Source organism: Homo sapiens, chromosome 2 (genome assembly GCF_000001405.40).
Source record: "Homo sapiens chromosome 2, GRCh38.p14 Primary Assembly".
NCBI lineage: Eukaryota > Metazoa > Chordata > Mammalia > Primates > Hominidae > Homo > Homo sapiens.
In genome coordinates, this window is record NC_000002.12 from 240,409,667 (window position 1) to 240,426,403 (window position 16,737).

General features: G+C 50.1%; 1 annotated feature.

Moving 5' to 3' along the window:
• Window positions 2,252–2,837: an enhancer, noted in NCBI's record as "H3K4me1 hESC enhancer chr2:241351335-241351920 (GRCh37/hg19 assembly coordinates)". NCBI's record gives its function as "activates a minimal SCP1, AML or CMV promoter by ChIP-STARR-seq in naive H9 embryonic stem cells {active_cell/tissue: H9 hESC(naive)}" and the evidence as "EXISTENCE:reporter gene assay evidence [ECO:0000049][PMID:30033119]".

Below are 16,737 nucleotides of genomic sequence, written 5' to 3' on the forward strand. Positions count from 1 at the left end.
TATTTAGCCTTGCTACAGAGGTGCTGGCCAAGGCCATGAGAAAAAGGAAGAACTAGAGCCTTCAAAACTGCAAAGAAAGAGATAAAATTAGTACTGTTTTCAGATTATATCACAGTGTACCTGGAAAAACAAACAAGAAAATCAACTAAACATTGTTGTAAACCAAAGGAGAGTTTTGCCTGACAGCTGAATACAAAATAAATACAACTAAGTAATAACAAATTCAGAAGATAAAACGGGGGAGAATATCCCATTTAAAATTGCAATAAAATCAATAAAATCGCAAGGAATAAAATTGAAAAGAAATGTAAAAATTCTACATGAAGAAAAACTGTAAATGCTCTGTGAGACACAGATATATTTTAAACAAATGAAAGATCCGATTACACCTGTGAGGAGACAGATTTAACATCAGGAGTATGTCAACCCTCCATAGCTTCATCTAAACGTTGCGATTCCCATAAAACACCAACAAAACATTTAAGACAAAAAAGCAAAAGTTTACGTGAAAACATATCATGAAACAACATCAGTATAATTAAACCTATGAGGTGGCGTCACATGAGTAAACAGATAAATGGCTAGACTGGGATGTCAAGATGTCAACACACACGCATATTTTCAACGTGTTTGAAAATATGACATTTTCATATTGTGAAGAAGGAAATGTCTCAAGTAAGTGCCGGGAAACCTGGGTCATTCAATATAAGTGCTGTAGGGACAGCAAGAGCTATCTGAGGAAAAGGGTCAGATGCGTATCTCACGTTCAACACCAAAACATCAGAGTTATAAACAATGCAATCACGTAGGTATTCAGAGAAGCCATGGGGGGGCTGCTATATGTCTCTATCTTACAAGGAGACCTTTGTGCACAGGACAAAACCAAGAAGCCATTAAAAATGTGTTGCAAATTGACAACTGATTGGGGTTTTTGCTTCTGTGAGGATGGAAGAAGCCACAAGAGACCATCACTCCCACACTGACAAGAACAAGCCTTCAAAGTCTTATATTTTGGAACCCACTGGGGAGCTGAGGGGGGCGAGACAGCCTGGTGAACTGAAGCCCAAAGATGACAGCCCCCAGGAAAGAGGAGACACCGTCCCCCTGGGCAAGCGGCAAAGCAGGTAAGCAGAAAACAGCCGGCAATTGAACATTCATAAGGGCCAGTGTAGAAGGAAGAGCACCCAAGCGAGGGAGGCGGCCCCCACCATGGCAGGTGCAAGGGAGGCGGCCCCCACCATGGCAGGTGCGAGGGAGGCGGCCCCCACCATGGCAGGTGAGAGGGAGGCGGCCCCACCATGGCAGGTGCGAGGGAGGCTGGCCCCCAGCATGGCAGGTGCGAGGGAGGCGGGCCCCCAGCATGGCAGGTGCGAGGGAGGCGGCCCCCACCATCGCAGGTGCGAGGGAGGTGGCTCCCACCATCGCAGGTGTGAGGGAGGCGGCCCCACCATCGCAGGTGCGAGGGAGGCTGGCCCCCAGCATGGCAGGTGCGAGGGAGGCGGCCCCACCATCACAGGTGCGAGGGAGGCCGGCCCCCAGCATGGTAGGTGCGAAGGAGGTGGGCCCCCACCATCAAAGGTGCGAGGGAGGCAGCCCCCACCATCGCAGCTGCGAGGGAGGCGGCCCCACCATCACAGGTGCCAGGGAGGCCGGCCCCCAGCATGGCAGGTGCGAAGGAGGCGGGCCCCCAGCATGGCAGGTGCGAGGGAGGTGGGCCCCCAGCATGGCAGGTGCGAGGGAGGCGGGCCCCCGCCATCGAAGGCCCAAGGGTGCCCCCACCTGGGGAGGACACGGGAAACGAGAGCAGCTGCTCCCCTGAGGGGGTCTGGGGGACAGGAAGCTGCAGGGCTGCGCATTCTCGCCCACGGTCACTTCTGGGGCCTCGCTGCCTATCCTGGGCCTGCACTGTGGGAACCCAGTCCCAGGACAGCGCTGACCACCCACCAAAGAAGTCGGTGTGCAAACACCAGCATTCACTCTGCCACCCTGTGGCCCAAGAGGCCCTCACCCCCCATGCCATCCACCCTTGCCGCTGCCTCACCCCCACTTCCAGGCTAGTAGCTGCATTTTGGGGTCCAGAGCCAGTCCCCGCTCCCTGATCTGTGCCTTTCTAGGGTCTATCCAGCAACCTCCATGACACATCACTGTAGGCAGCCCTGCAAGGTACGGCATGTCCTGCCCCCAGCCCCCATTCAGTCCCCATCCAGCCCTCAGTGGACCCTCATCCCTTCTAGGGCAAAGCACCTGCCATGGGGCAGCTTGGTCCTGCCCAGGTCCCAGGTTGCCAAGAGGGAATAGGGGAGCTAGGAGACGTCTCCCAGAGCCACCAGGGACTTGGCACACCATGACGTTCCAAGGCCCCTGTCCCCTGCCCCATCCATCTGCACTCCGAGGAGACACCCCTACCCTCCCCCCGTTCTCCTTCCCCGCACACAGGACACAGTTCCTTGATATGTCAAAGATCAGGAGCCAGCCACCTTCTCCCGGATCCTCCAGGGAGGGGCCTGCAGAGACTTCCCTCACCATCCCCATGGCTGCTCCTTCCCTCCGGGTCTCAGGCTGAGCCTGAGGGTCAGATACTGGGGAGCAGGGCCTGGACAAAGGGACAAGGCCAGGCCTTGGGGTGAGGTAGGGGTCTGTAAGAGTGGTTCTCATCCCTGGACAGAGCCGCCAGCTCTGACTGAGCTCAGGAATCCGAGCCCAGGGCGGCGGCTGGGAGGTTTTCCAAGCAGCTTCAGAGGAGCTTGTCCCCAAGCCCTGGAGGCCCCACTGGGGGATTCTGGCTCCGCCCCACCCCCCAGGCTTTGGGTGTGATTGACAGGCATGAGGATGAGGCAGGGCCAGGCCAGGCCCGGTCTTCCTCCTTCCGAAGGCTTCTTGCAGCTGCTGCCTGGGTGGAAACCAAAGCCAGGCCAGACAGGCCCCACAGACCTCGGGCAGCTGGACCAGTGGCTGTCCACCCTGGTGGGCCGGGCGCCTCAGCTGGCCAATGGAGCATCCATGTGGGGCTGGCCCAGCTCTGCGGCCGTGGCAATCTAGGCCCTGTTGTTTGCTGTGGCCAGTCCAGGGCCCAGGGTTGGAGATTCAGGTCCCATCTCTGGGCTGTGTCCAGCTCAGACCAGGCACCAGCCCAGTCCTTCTCCCACACCCTGCCTGCCCCCGGCTAGGGTCATCACTGCCCACATCCACCCCGGGATGGAAGGTGCCTCTCCACCTCCCATCCTATCTCTTAAGCTCTCTGAAGATGGAGCCCACTGCCTCATGTCTCTGCCCCCTAGTTCCCAAGGGCCGCAGACCATCCCAAAGGACCGCCTGTCCAGAGTGTCACAGACGTGCAGTCCACCCTGGGGACAGGCACTGTCCTCCCCTGCAGGCCCACCACACTGGCCAGAGAAGGGGTGAGGCCAAGCCTCACCTGGCTCCCGCTGAGGCTGGAGCATCCAGGGAGGGGCCAGAGGCCAGGGGTCAACCTGAATGGACACCAGTGGGGACTGGGGGGTGCCTAAGGCTGCCAGGTGGAAATGGGAGGGCTGAGAGGAGCCAAACCACCCTGGTGGGGGCCTGCAGTACCCCTCAAGTCCGGAGGAGGCTGAGCTGCAGTACCCCCCAAGTCCGGAGGAGGCTGAGTTGGGGAGGGAGCCTGACACACTGCCCGAAGTGGCACAGGGGAGTGGACGGACGCGCAGGAGTGCCACGCGGGGCCAGACAGTCTGTGTTGCGTTGCACTGGGCTCCTCGGCTCCCTCACACGGAGTGGGTGGAGCTGGGAGGACTTGGGTCCAGTCGGGACACCCGGCTCTGGCCTTGCCCTCCCCGACCAGCCATGGGGTCCTCTGTGTCCTCACATGACAGCCAGCCCCACTCGCTTCTGCTATGATGTCTGCCAGGGGCCGCTGGATCCAGTGACGCTGAACCCCAGGGAGGGGTTCTCAGGTGCATCCTGAGACAGCAGGCCTCATGACTCCTCCCCACTCCCTCTCTCTCTCCATCGGCTTTGTGGCCGTGTTGTCATGGGATGGCTGCATTGCCCACAGTCCCGCGTGAGATCTGAGCTACTCTCCATGGTGAGAGGCAGGAGAGGTGCAAGGTGTCAGTGTTGGCGGGGGCGCTCCTCTCCACCCCTAGATGAGGCCACTTGGTGGGTGGGAGCCCAGGTCAGCCTCCACCAAGAGCAGGGTGGGACAAGGATTCCACCTCACTCTTGGGCAGAGTGCTACACAGGGAGGGGCCAGCAGCTCCCAAGACCTCTGCCCATTCTTAGAGAAGCAGGTAACCAGAGACCCTCAGGGTGCCGGGAGCAGAGGCCCCTGCAGATGGATCCTGAGTGCTCTGGAGCCTGGAGGTCCCTAGGGGGGGGCCACCACAAGGGCAGTGGGACTGATAGGGCGGAATGTGGGGTCCCCTTCCATGCTGTAGCCCAAACAGCTTCAGCTTTGTCCACTAAATACACCATGGGTGAGGGGTCTATGTAAGCTATTTGTTTAACTAAGCACGTGCTACTAAAAATAAAGTTCACAAAGTACTCACAAGTCCAAACCTCATCAGTGTCCAAAATGAGCTGAGCTGGCCAAGATCAAGGCTTAGGGAAGCCCAGGCTTACATATTTTTGGTCTCTTATTAAAGAGGAGTCAGAGATATGTGGGTCCGTGGGTAAGTATGTCCTGTGCTATGAGGATGCACAGGCTATTGAAAAATTATGAAATCATGTACTTCCTAATTTTCACTAGATATGAAGGATACTGATGATTAAGAATTTTAAATAATATATGTAATTGAAACTACTAGAAATAATAGGGCTAAAAGAAAACTGTATGTGAAAAATGCACAAAGAAAGTACAATGTGGCTTCAGTAAGGGAAGGTATACAAGGTGTGTGTTTTCGTTAAGGAAAAAAGAGTAATTTTGTCTTAAAGCAAGATAGATTGTTTCAGAATGAAAAAGAAGAAAAAGAGTGAGACAAAAACTGAACAGATATAGAAAGTTGTAGAAGGCCGGCAAAAGAGGAATGTTAGGTGTGGTCAAACTACTAATATTAGATAGTTTTTATTCATAAGATCTTTTTTAAAAAAATAAGTTCAGGGCCAGGCGCGGTGGCTCACGCCTGTAATCCCAGCACTTTGGGAGGCCGAGGCGGGTGGATCACGAGGTCAGGAGATCGAGACCATCCTGGCTAACACAGTGAAACCCCGTCTCTACTAAAAATACAAAAAATTAGCCGGGCGAGGTGGCGGGTGCCTGTAGTCCCAGCTGCTGGGGAGGCTGAGGCAGGAGAATGGCGTGAACCCGGGAGGCGGAGCCTGCAGTGAGCCCAGATCGCGCCACTGCACTCCAGCCTGGGCGACAGTGAGACTCCGTCTCAAAAAAAAAATAAAAAATAAAAAAATAAGCTCAGTAATGTACGGTCCAAAGTAAGAATTAGGTTTCCCCTCTGCTAAAAGGACAAAGCTTTCTTGGACTATTGTTCTGCTTTTGATTATGAAGATATTTTTTGCTTTACTTTTAAGCAACAGGCCCAGGAAACAAAGATGTGTTTTATCAGGATAATTTCTCATGCTGCATGTTGCCTTTCATAAAGTCTTTTATCATTTAAGAAAAGTGAGACTTTTCAATATTAAAAGAGCTGTTTTTTTATGCCTATGTAAGTTTCTATATTTGCCTTTAAAACCTTTTGTATTGGTATTATTTCACAATGACCTGTAATCTTACTTAATTAAGTGTTTTAACCCTTTGGGCATTTTTGACAACTTCCCAAATTCAAATTCTAAATTAAGTCTTTTTTACCTCAGATTAACTTTGTGAGTTTCTCTGGGCTTCTTCTTTGTGAAGGATGTCTGGACTATATCAAAAGCATTTATTTTCTCTCTTAATAAAAAGAGATGTTAAATTAACTAGGCTTATCTAATACATTAAATGTCATGGGAGGCATTGCCAAATAATGAGTGATAGGTACTACACCTTTTTAAAGTTATATTTATTATTGATCTGACTATTCCAGAAATTATTTGAAATTCCTAGAAATATGATATATCCTAGTATGTTATCATCCATAATTCTAATTATGTTGAAATGTTATATATCACCAAAACAACCAAATTTCTCGTCAGTTGCATGATACAAAACTGCAAGAGCTTCATGAAAAAGACTGACAAGTACAGGTTTCTGGTAACCTTAAGCTCACACTCTCACAGGAGGGTAAGATTTTCCAGAACAGTCATGAAAAATTGATAGATTCATAAAACGACTAACCCAATATCCAACAAAACATGGAACTAAATTAGCTGATGACAATAATTATAATTTGTATCACCTTTTGTTAGAAACATTGTTGGTTCTCTAATGTCTTATTTTTCAGATTTTCGAAATCCTTTTTCTCTTAAGCTACCTATAACTTGTAGAAATTTAATAAAATATATTTTGTAAACAAAAAAAAATGGAACATTTATATTTTTCTCCCTATCTGATTGCTCCAGAATTTGGGAACTCTTATTAAATATTCTTATTTTCAGAGCAATACCAGTATTTGCATAAGTTCAATAGGGATCTGTTCTCCTTGTAACAGGGCACAATTGGACAAGTCCTTGGCTTGGCTTCTTAGCCTAGAGAGGTTTTTAAAGGTCTAATCTGAGATTTCTCATTACTAAATAATTCTTTAAAATGAAGGTTGAGTGATACAAAATCCATAAAGCCCCTTAGATATTACCAAAGCTCTGACTAAAATATGATATTTTTGAATATACATAGAATTACTATTCTTGTTGTACTTATATAAACAGTCAGGTCAAGCTTAATGAAATGACTTATTTTTAAAAATTGGCCAGCCTTGTTGCCTCATGCCTGTAATCCCAGCACTTTGGGAAGCCAAGGTGGGAGGGTTTGAAACAGCCTAGATAGGCCCCATCTCAATAAGAAATTTAAAAATTAACCGGGCATGGTGGTATGCACCTGTGGTCCCAGCTACTTGGGAAGCTGAGGGAGGAGAACTGCTTGAGCTCAGGTGTTGGAGGCTGCAGTGAACTATGTTTGCACCACTGCACTATAGCCTGGGTGACACAGAAAGACCCTGTTTTTTAAATATATATATATTATTTTTGACTATAAAAGATTGTATTTCAATAGGAAAGTGTAGTGCACCCATTATCAAATTCTAGTCCTGTTTATTTTCTTTGAGATTTTGTTATCCATCTATAAACTGGATTGAATCCTGAATTCTTCTACTTACACAAGAAAATAGAACTTCCCTTTTCGCATGCCCCGAGGCTGAAACTGGATGACTTCAAACTTCAGAAAAATCACTACAAGAGACCACGTATGGACAACCTTGAGGCCTGCTGCTCTACAGGTCACTTAGAGAGTTCACCCAAACACCCCATGACCTCATCAGAGACAGTCACACTGCCAACCAGGAAAATCCATCAGGACTGCAACTACCATCCCTCACTCCACCATCTAGAGATGTTTTTAGCTCTAGAAACGTAGAAATCTTCTCAACTAGCTGTCCTCTGCACTCAAAAAACTACAATCATATTTCAGTTCAAATATTAACCATTGATTTTCTTTTGTTTTCATAGGACAGCTAAATGAACAATTTAGCCTCAATCATACTACAAAATAAAAGTTATTGATATCTTAACAGCTGAACAAGAATGAGCTTGTTCTCTTATAGATTTAAAAAAATGTTTTTTCTATCTTAATAAATTAGAAATTGTTGCCAAAACTTAAAGGCTTTGGAGAGACAAACACTAGTCTCACCAGACGGGTGCTGCCTCCTCCACTGATTGATTTCATTGGTTAAATCTGGCTTCTGGGAATCTCTGCCCCAGGAAAATGTTCATTCCTGGCTGTGACTCTCCTTACAGTCATTGTATTCACCTCCCAAGTGCATGGTATCCTCTCAAGTGTTTTTTTTTTTAATTATACTTTAAGTTTTAGGGTACATGTGCACAATGTGCAGGTTTGTTACATATGTATACATGTGCCATGTTGTTGTGCTGCACCCATTAACACGTCATTTAGCATTAGGTATATCTCCTAATGCTATCCTTCCCCACTCCCCCCACCCACAAATGCTTTCCAGCAGCCACTCATGCATGGAAAGATTGCCATCAGAATTAGACAACTCAGAGAGTTCCACAACTCAGCAACTCAAAGTCACAATGACTGTGTAATTTTGTATAGCAATGACTGTAAGACCTTATATCTCAATGCAAGTATTGAGATGATACAGGGACTACATCCATAGTGGTAACCTAGAGTAATGCTATGCTGTTTGGTCCCGGTCTCAGCTTGCTGAGAGGGTGCCCAAAAGTTGGGGGGGCATTGTTAAAGTAACTGTTACAGAGGCTAGGCCTGAAGAGTCCCTGAGTAGACAAAGCCAGTTAGGCCTCATAAGTGCAAACTGCTTCATTTGCAGACATAAGTGAAACTTACTGTGAACCTTTTCATGTAAATACCTACATTAAAGAAAAACAAAACTTAAGCTCCACCAATCAGAAGTAGCCAACAAACTTATAATTCTATAACTAGGGACTTTGCAACAGGATGGACCCAACAAGGCACTTGCACAACTGTGAACAATCAGATATTTTATTTGTGTTACTTCTGTATTCATTCTGTAAAAACCTCCCTCTTGTTTTCTCTTGATGGAGCTCCTAAATCATTTCTGGTTTTAAGCTGAGTCATGAGTTGTCTCCTCAAATAAACCTCTTTTAAAAATTTTATGGTTCCTCAGTTTACCTTTTGATGGCTCTACATCATCTCCCTCAAGCTGGGACCCCACTGACATCCCTAGCCATCCATCTAGGACCCTCAGGTGGAGGGTTGGCTGGTGCCCCTGCAGGATGTAAGGGATGCTGCCTGCCCCCCGGGTGGCACAGCACTGGGCCCTCCATGGCCAGCCCTGGAAGGAAGGCCAACCCCATGCCTCCCACTCATACAGTTTCCCCACTCCATCCTCCATGGAATCCAGTGGAGGTGAGGCTTCAGAAAAAGCTTGGAATGACAACTGGGAGATAAACACAGAGTGGAGGGCAAAACCATGCTGTCTGGGGGCCGCAGGAAAAACATGCTCATCTTCAACAGGGTTCTCTGCCCCTGCACACCCCTAGAGCATACCCATATAGGAAAGAATTTAACTTTGTCCAGAAATCAGTGTGGCATTGGCCCCTGATTCCTAGGAGGTGACACTCACCCTGGAATGTCATGCCTGATAGGACTGTCTTTGTTGGCCTGGGGACCTGAGACCATGCCGCATGATCACAATGTGCTTTGCAGAGTGTGGGCGGGCAGTATCTGGATCAGGTGATACCAGTTGGCCTTGGGAGGGGACAGAGACTGAGATAACCACACAGACAATCAATCAGTGGTGCCTGTGAATTGGAGCCCCAATAAAAACTCTGACCACAGAGGCTCAGGTGAGCATCCCCAGTTGGCTACGCTCCAGGTGTGCTGTCCCACAGAGATGCCGGGAGAGTGACACTGTCCTGACGCCACGGGGAGAGGACACAGGAGTCTTGAGTTTGGTGCATCCCCAGATCCCACCTCTGTGGTTCTTCCTTTGGCTGACTTCATCCCTGATCCTTTCCCTATGAAAAACCATAGCCTTGTATACGACAGCTTCTGTGAGTCCTGTGGGTTTTCTGGCAAGCTGCTAAGCCTTGAAAGTGGGGTCTTGGGGCCCCTGAACATACCACTACAGTCAGAAGCAAGGGCAGTCTGGTGTGGACTGCGCTCTCCCACTTGTGCCCGGAAAACTCTGGGCAAGCCTGGCCCCGACCCCCACCTCCCAGAGCACCTGAGCCCCACGAGGAGGCTGGTCCTCCTGGTGCCCAGGGAACTGCAGACATAGGGGCAGCTGGAGACCCACCCCAGCTCCTCTCCACACCCACGAGTGCACTCCCAGGTAGGGAGTGGGGTCTGCACACATCTAAGTGAGCCTCAGCCATCGGCCCTCAGGACCCAGCTTCCTGGGTCCTGCATGGCTCATGTCCTAGGACCATACTGTGGTCACACTGGGGGGCCTAGCCTAAGCCCCCCCCCATGCCAGTGGCCAAGCTTGTCTTCAGGGCCATCTGCACAGACCTCAAATTTCAAGCAGAATCAAAGCCTTTTCAGAGTTTAGGCAAAAATCTTGTGATTTTTTTTTTTTCCAAATAGTTTGGGCTTGGCAGGTCCCATGTTGCACTTTGCCAAGCTCTCCTCCCTCCTATAATTTAAAGAAGAAAAAAGCACAAATTCAAAACCACTGTGCATTCCGGAGGAGACGTGGTCTGCAGGCTGCTGACTCTGCCACAGGCATCAGAGCATCTGCACCATGTCCACACAGCCTCACCCAGCCTCTTCCTGAGTCCTGCAAATTTTCATTTTACATTTTATTTCATTTTGCAATCTGACAATGAGGCAGAATCTCTGCAGGGAGTTAGAGCCAGCCTGGCCCAGGCCACAGATGGCCAAGTGAGGCCCGTGGAGACCCCCAGCTCCCAGACCATTAAGGCCAGTATCTGAGAGCCATAGCCAGGCCAAGCCCCAGCTGGTGGCAGAGGAGCCGGGCAGCCTGCAAGGGGCTCCTGGTCCCAAGGAAGCTTGATGGGGGGGCCATGGACTGAACCCTGCCCCCACCCCACAAGTCCGTTTCAGAGACTGCACACTGCTCAGGCACCCAGAAGACCCTTTCCTGACCCCCTCAGTGGGCCAGGGGCAGACATAGGCAAGCAGACACCACCCACAGTGCCCGAAGGCTCAGCACCCTTGGCACACATTGGGAGGGTCTGGTCCACTTCAGAGTGGGGGGCTGGGGGCATGGAGAAGACCTAGAAAGGCACGGCTGATACTTTGGCCCGAGGCTTGCCTTATGGGAGTACCCGGGAGAATGGGAGGGCTGAGGGATGAAGAATGGAAGGACGACCTCCTGGGCAAGCAAACGGCCCCAAAACCAGAGTTGTGGGCAAGTCCTAGGCTGTGGGACCCCAGAGGGACCGGGAATCTGGTCTGGGCCCTCAGGATAGGCAGGCAGGGTCCTGGGGCTGCTGCCCACTATCCTATCCCCTCAGCACAAATGGCCTGGCTCCTCCGGTTCCTCTGGTGTGCGTGCCCCGACATTAGGGGCTTCCTCGGCCCACAGGGAAGGACAGTCAGGTCCTCACAGGGCCCCACGCCCTCTGCAGATGGGAACCACCCCCACAGTAGCCACTCAGCCACATGCCCATGTGGAATGACAAGGCCATCAATCCTGTTCCCCAGGGCTGGAAGCCACGTGTTGACAATTTTGAGCAGTGGGTTTAGCTCGGTTTCGGAAAGGATAAGAAAATTAGAGGATGGGTGTCTTTGCTTCCAAGAGTGTCCCATTCTGCGGATCTGCCCAGGAACACAGCAGTGGTGCCAGAGGCCTGCCAGGGACACTAGGCCCACAAAAGGCCCAAACTAGCATCCAGGCCTCATGTGAGGTGGCAGCCTCCACCCCAAAACCCCCAGCCCTCAGGCAGCACTCACTTGTGCATTTCCAGCTCAATCTTCCAAATTACCAACTTTAAAGAGATATTGCAGGAGGAACACCCAGGACCCTGGAAGGCAGCTGCTGGGCCTGGATGCAGAGAGTGGTGATTCCTCCCAACTGGGATGCACAAGACCAGGATGCCCCAGGGTCAGGGAGGAAGCCAGCTTTACAAGTATGCTTTTCATGACATAACTCACGGGTGTGGGTGCCTTCTCCCCAAGCAGATGAAGGGTGTAGAATCCCATCAGAAGCACCCCTGTCCATTTCCAGGTCCCCCTGGACAGGTGTGGCCAGCAGGCAGGAAGGCACAGTCAGCAAGCACAAGCAACACTGATGCGGGGACACTGAGCAGGCTACAAGGATCCCAGAGGGGGGATGGAGCAGGCCCTGGCTCCCCAGGGCCCATGCCAGGCCATGGGACATGCAGCCCCAGGAGAAGCTGGCCAGGGCAACCCAGGCCTGACAAGTGTCCTCGTGCCACACAGGCCAGGAAAGCCACTGCTCACGCCTCATCAGAACAGCAGCCAGTGCAAGGCAGAGACAGCATCACCTGTGCTCTGGCCTTGCTGCCACAGGAGTGCTCTGAGCCCAAGGAGACCCCCACAGCAGGAGAGCCCTGCAAGACCATGGAAACAGACAGGGCTTAGGGCCCAGCCTCAACAAATCACATCCAGGATGGCATTGCAAATGCTTCCATTGCAGGTAGGGTTTAGTCCTGGAATGCAAGGATGGGTTAATAGCAGTAATTCTAGATGCATAACTCACTACACCAAGAACTGAGTTGAGGAAAATGATACGATCATGGAAACAGATGTTGAAAAAATTCCATATCCTTCCCTACTAGGACTTTAAAAAGAAACCTTGTAGCAAGGAAAGAATAGGAAACAACTTCCCCAACTTGATAACAGTTTGTTCTAGAAGCCTTTAGTCAATATTGTAATTAATGATAAAACTTTCAAAGCATTAGTCTTAAGGTCAGGAGAAAACATGAGTGTTTTCATCATTACCAATTTTATCTTTACTATTATACTAGAGATCCTAATAAGGATAGTAATGCATTTATTAAAAAAAGAAATGAAAGGCATAAATACCTGGAAATTAAAAGATTAAGTCATCACTACTTTCAGATGCTATGATTGTCTACCTAGAAATCAGAAGGCAGCCAACTGAAAAAGTATTAGAAGTAAGGAAACAATTTAGCAAAGCTGTGACTTGAAAGATCAATGGAGCCAATGACTTCCCTAAACACAGCAATTACCAATGAAAACGTATGCTCAGAAATACTGCTCACAATAGACAAAGCCTTAAAACAACTAAGAATAAACCCCAAAATATAAAAAGGGCTAGATGATGAAAAACGTGAGACTTTACTGCAAAGCAATTTTTTAAATTGAATAAAGGGAGAATTTGAAATACCTAGAATACCTGGATGTCTGAGAAAATATCAATTCTCCCAGAACTAATCTATGAGCTCCAGACAATTCTCATCCATTATTTATGGATCTTGACGGATGAATCCAATGTTCATCTGGGGGAGACACTGGAAAGAATAGCAAGAAATTTTGAATAAGAAGAAATGTACATCCTACAAAACTACATTATTCAAAACAGTGTGGCCTTAGCCCAGCAATATGCAAAAAAGATCCAGGGTGAGTCTAGAAACAGGCCAGTGTATGCTGGAATGAGTATTTACTGGCATTTCACATAAGTGAACAGGGGAAGGAGGAAATATTTGCAACACAGATTCCAGGCAAAGAGCCTAATCTTTAATCCATAAAGACCTCCTCAAAAATCAATACCAAAAAAAAACAACAAAGGTGAAAAATGGCAATGGACTTGAATAGACAGGCCATAAGAAAACCTGACAGTGGCTGGTAAATGCATGAAAAAATGTTCAGTTTCCCAGGGAGCAGGGAGTACAAACGGAAACACTCCCGGATCTCACCCCTCGAGCCTCAGGTCAGCAACATCGAGAGGTGTGATGACCCCTGCTTTGACAAGGGCATGAGTCACCAGGGACTGTGCCTGACTTTGTCTTTTTGAAGGACATTAGGCCACCTCTTTAAAATACTGAAATGTGCACCCTGTAACTCAGCAGATGTGTTTCTCATCATCTGTTCTATAGAAGCCACCGCTGCCATTTTAATATCACTTTGTTTGAAATAAAAACACTCTTGAGCTGAGGCATGGTAAAACAGAGGCTGCAGCCCTTTTCTGGAATAGTGACAATGGGTTGGAACAGAGGTGTGGGCGGAGCTTTAGGCCCTGATGTGGAGAGGCCACCAAGGCTCGCTCAGGGTTCAGTTAGAAAAACAATGCCGCACACAATGGGCATCAGATGCTTGAACAGGGCCATTTACGAACCAGAGAAAGTTCTAGAAAGATGCGCCCACAGTGGCTCACCCTGATCACTCTGGGTGAGGGTGTGAATGGGAACCCTCTTTTTTCTTTTTCATATATTTCAGAATGTGATGTGTTCTATTTTAACCACTACTAGAGATTTTTCAAGCTTTTCAAAAGCTTCCAGTTCTGGTTGTTGGTCCCAAAAACTGGATCCTGTGGGACAACACGGTCTTCAGCTGATCTAGCCCTGCCTCCAACCAGCGACAGTCCCTGGCACCTGCGTCTCTGCTGCTAACCCTCCTGATGAGTGCGCCAGGAGTATTCCGACCAGTGACAGTCCCTGGTGCCGGCATCTCTGCCACTAACCCTCCTGATGGGTGCACCAGGCATATGGCCTCCGACCAGTGATAGTCCCTGGCACCGGTGTCTCTGCCACTAACCTTCCTGATGGATGCACCAGGCGTACGGCCCTCGGGCCTCTCGCGTTCAGCCCAAGCTCATTGAGTGGAAATCCCCGGGTTACCAGCCCTCCCACTACCCTGTACCCAATGCCACTCCGGGTGCCACGCGCCAGAGTCAATTTCCGCCCAACACCACGACTGTGTGTGGCTCTGGCATTTCCAACCACTAGGAGGGCAGGAGGGCTGGCCAGCAGGCGAGGTCTCTGTGTGTGATTTTGAAATGCCTTTTCCCACAATGGCAATTAAAGTGCAATGCCTAATTCTGGACAGCTTCAGAACGAGCTTTAGAAATGGATGAGCTTTAGAAATGGTCACGTAGCAAGAAAATCTCCTTCCAGAAAACCTGCAGGCATGGAGGGAGACTGAGGTGGGGCTAGGGCTGGGGCTGAGGGCTGGGTCTTCCTGAGGCACTGTGGGGGCAGAAAGCAGGAGGCTGGCTGGTGACTGACGCTGCAGAGGAAGACAGAAAGCTTGCACTTTCTCCACGATTGTGTTGAGCAACATTCTAAACACAGTCCTGAGGCTCTCAGTGAATACAGGAGTCTTCACGTTGGGGACAGAATCTCGGAGGGCAGGCCTGTTGGTCTGGACCAGGGGCATGGGGGAAATGTCCAGGCCCTTGGGGCCACACAAGTGCAGTGCCCGGCTCCGCCAGATTCACACTTTTCCAAACACCCCTGCTCCTTCTTAGCTTGAGGGTTAATGGCAATGCCACCTCACGTGGTCATTCATTCATTCAACAAGCATTGGTCACTCCTACAACAACCACTCACCACCCAGCCGTGAAGACCCGAGTCTCAGCGGGCACTGCCCCACCAGGCACATTCTGGTGCTTCGGATACAGCAGAACCAACAGCTGCCCTTGCCCTGGTGATGCAGTTACCTTCCAGGGAGAGGAAGCCAGCTCATCCATGAAGAGATGATTTCTTAGGGCAGCTGGTGCTGGTGAGGACACCAGGCGGGAAGCCCAGCCAGCAGTCACTCTGTGAAGCGGCTTAGCGGACTCTGCCTAGCCTGGTGCCCAGCACCTCTGACCCCGCAAAAACACGCACCCATGTGCCCCTGGTGGCAGAGACAAACACAGCTACAGCAGCGCTCTTGAAACCACACGATTGTCCAGCCACGGTGGCCTGGGCATGGAGACCACAGGCGCTCACAACGGAAGGCCACCTGAGGACGAGAAGTGGGCAGCAACGCAGGTGGTGCTCAGGATCGAGAGACCGAGGTCAGCGCCAGGGAGAGTGCCAGGCCCGGCGGCCCAGTCCATGGGTCAGGGTCGAAGGCAGGGCACCTGTCCTGTGGCAGGGGAGCTTTGGGCAGGGGGACTTCAGGGTGCAGGACAATGTGGAGAGGACGTGAGGGGTCCCTGGGGCAGGGCATGCTCTGTTTCTCAATCTGGGTGCACTTTAAGAGATGCAAATTCATCAAGCCCTACCGTCAGGCTTGCACACTGATCTGCGGTATACCACACAGCGTGGTGACTCACACCTGTGATCCCAGCACTTTGAGAGACCAAGGCAGGAGAATTACTGGAGGCTAGGAGTTCAAGAGCAGCCTGGGCAAATAACGAGACCCTGTCTCTACAAAAAAAAAAAAAAAAAAAAAAAAAAAAATTAGCCAGATGCGGTGGTGTGCACCTGTAATTCCAGCTATTCAGGAGGCTGAGGCAGGAGGATTGCTTGAGCACTGGAATTCAAGGATGCAGTGAGCTATGATCGTGCCACTGCACTCCAGCCTGGGCAACAGAGCAAGTTCTTGTCTCTAAACAACAACAACAAAAATGGTTAAAATATCACGGGCAACACCTTGGAAACCAATTCATGCACAAGGATTGAAGATGCTTCCAGTTCACTCAGACCTCTGTAAACTGTGGCAGTTCCACCTGTCCAGAGTCAGCCCAGTGTTCCTGCTGGGTGGGAGGGAGCCAGGGCTTGCCTGCTGGAGACCTGGCGCCTCCCCTTCCAGGTAAGGGCTCTGTCTTCAGGGTCTGCCCACCTTTTCCAAGGCATGAGATGATGGGAGGGGAGGATGTCGCTGGAGAACGTAGTGATAAACAGGGAGGTGACAGGGCAGGGACGATCACAAGCTGTTGTGAACTTGTGTGAATTGTTAATACTTAACCTCCCTGAGCCAGGTGCTTTTCTATAAGCTGGATGCAAACAGACCCACCTCTCAGGGAGACTGTGCACATCTGAGACAGTCTTCAACTGCGTTCCCCCAAGAAGCAGATGCTGAGACAAGGTTCGTTTACTGGATGGTCCCAGGAAACAGCAGCAGGGGCGTGAGGAAGAGATGAGGAGGGAAGTAGCAGGATGGGTGATCGGTGCAGCTCACTGTGACCTGGCTCAGCCACAAGAAACCTCAGGAGACAGCGTAGAGCAATGGTCAAATAAAAACGACCGTGGCCACTGGTTCAGAGAAGCTCCTGCCCCAAACCCAACACCCAG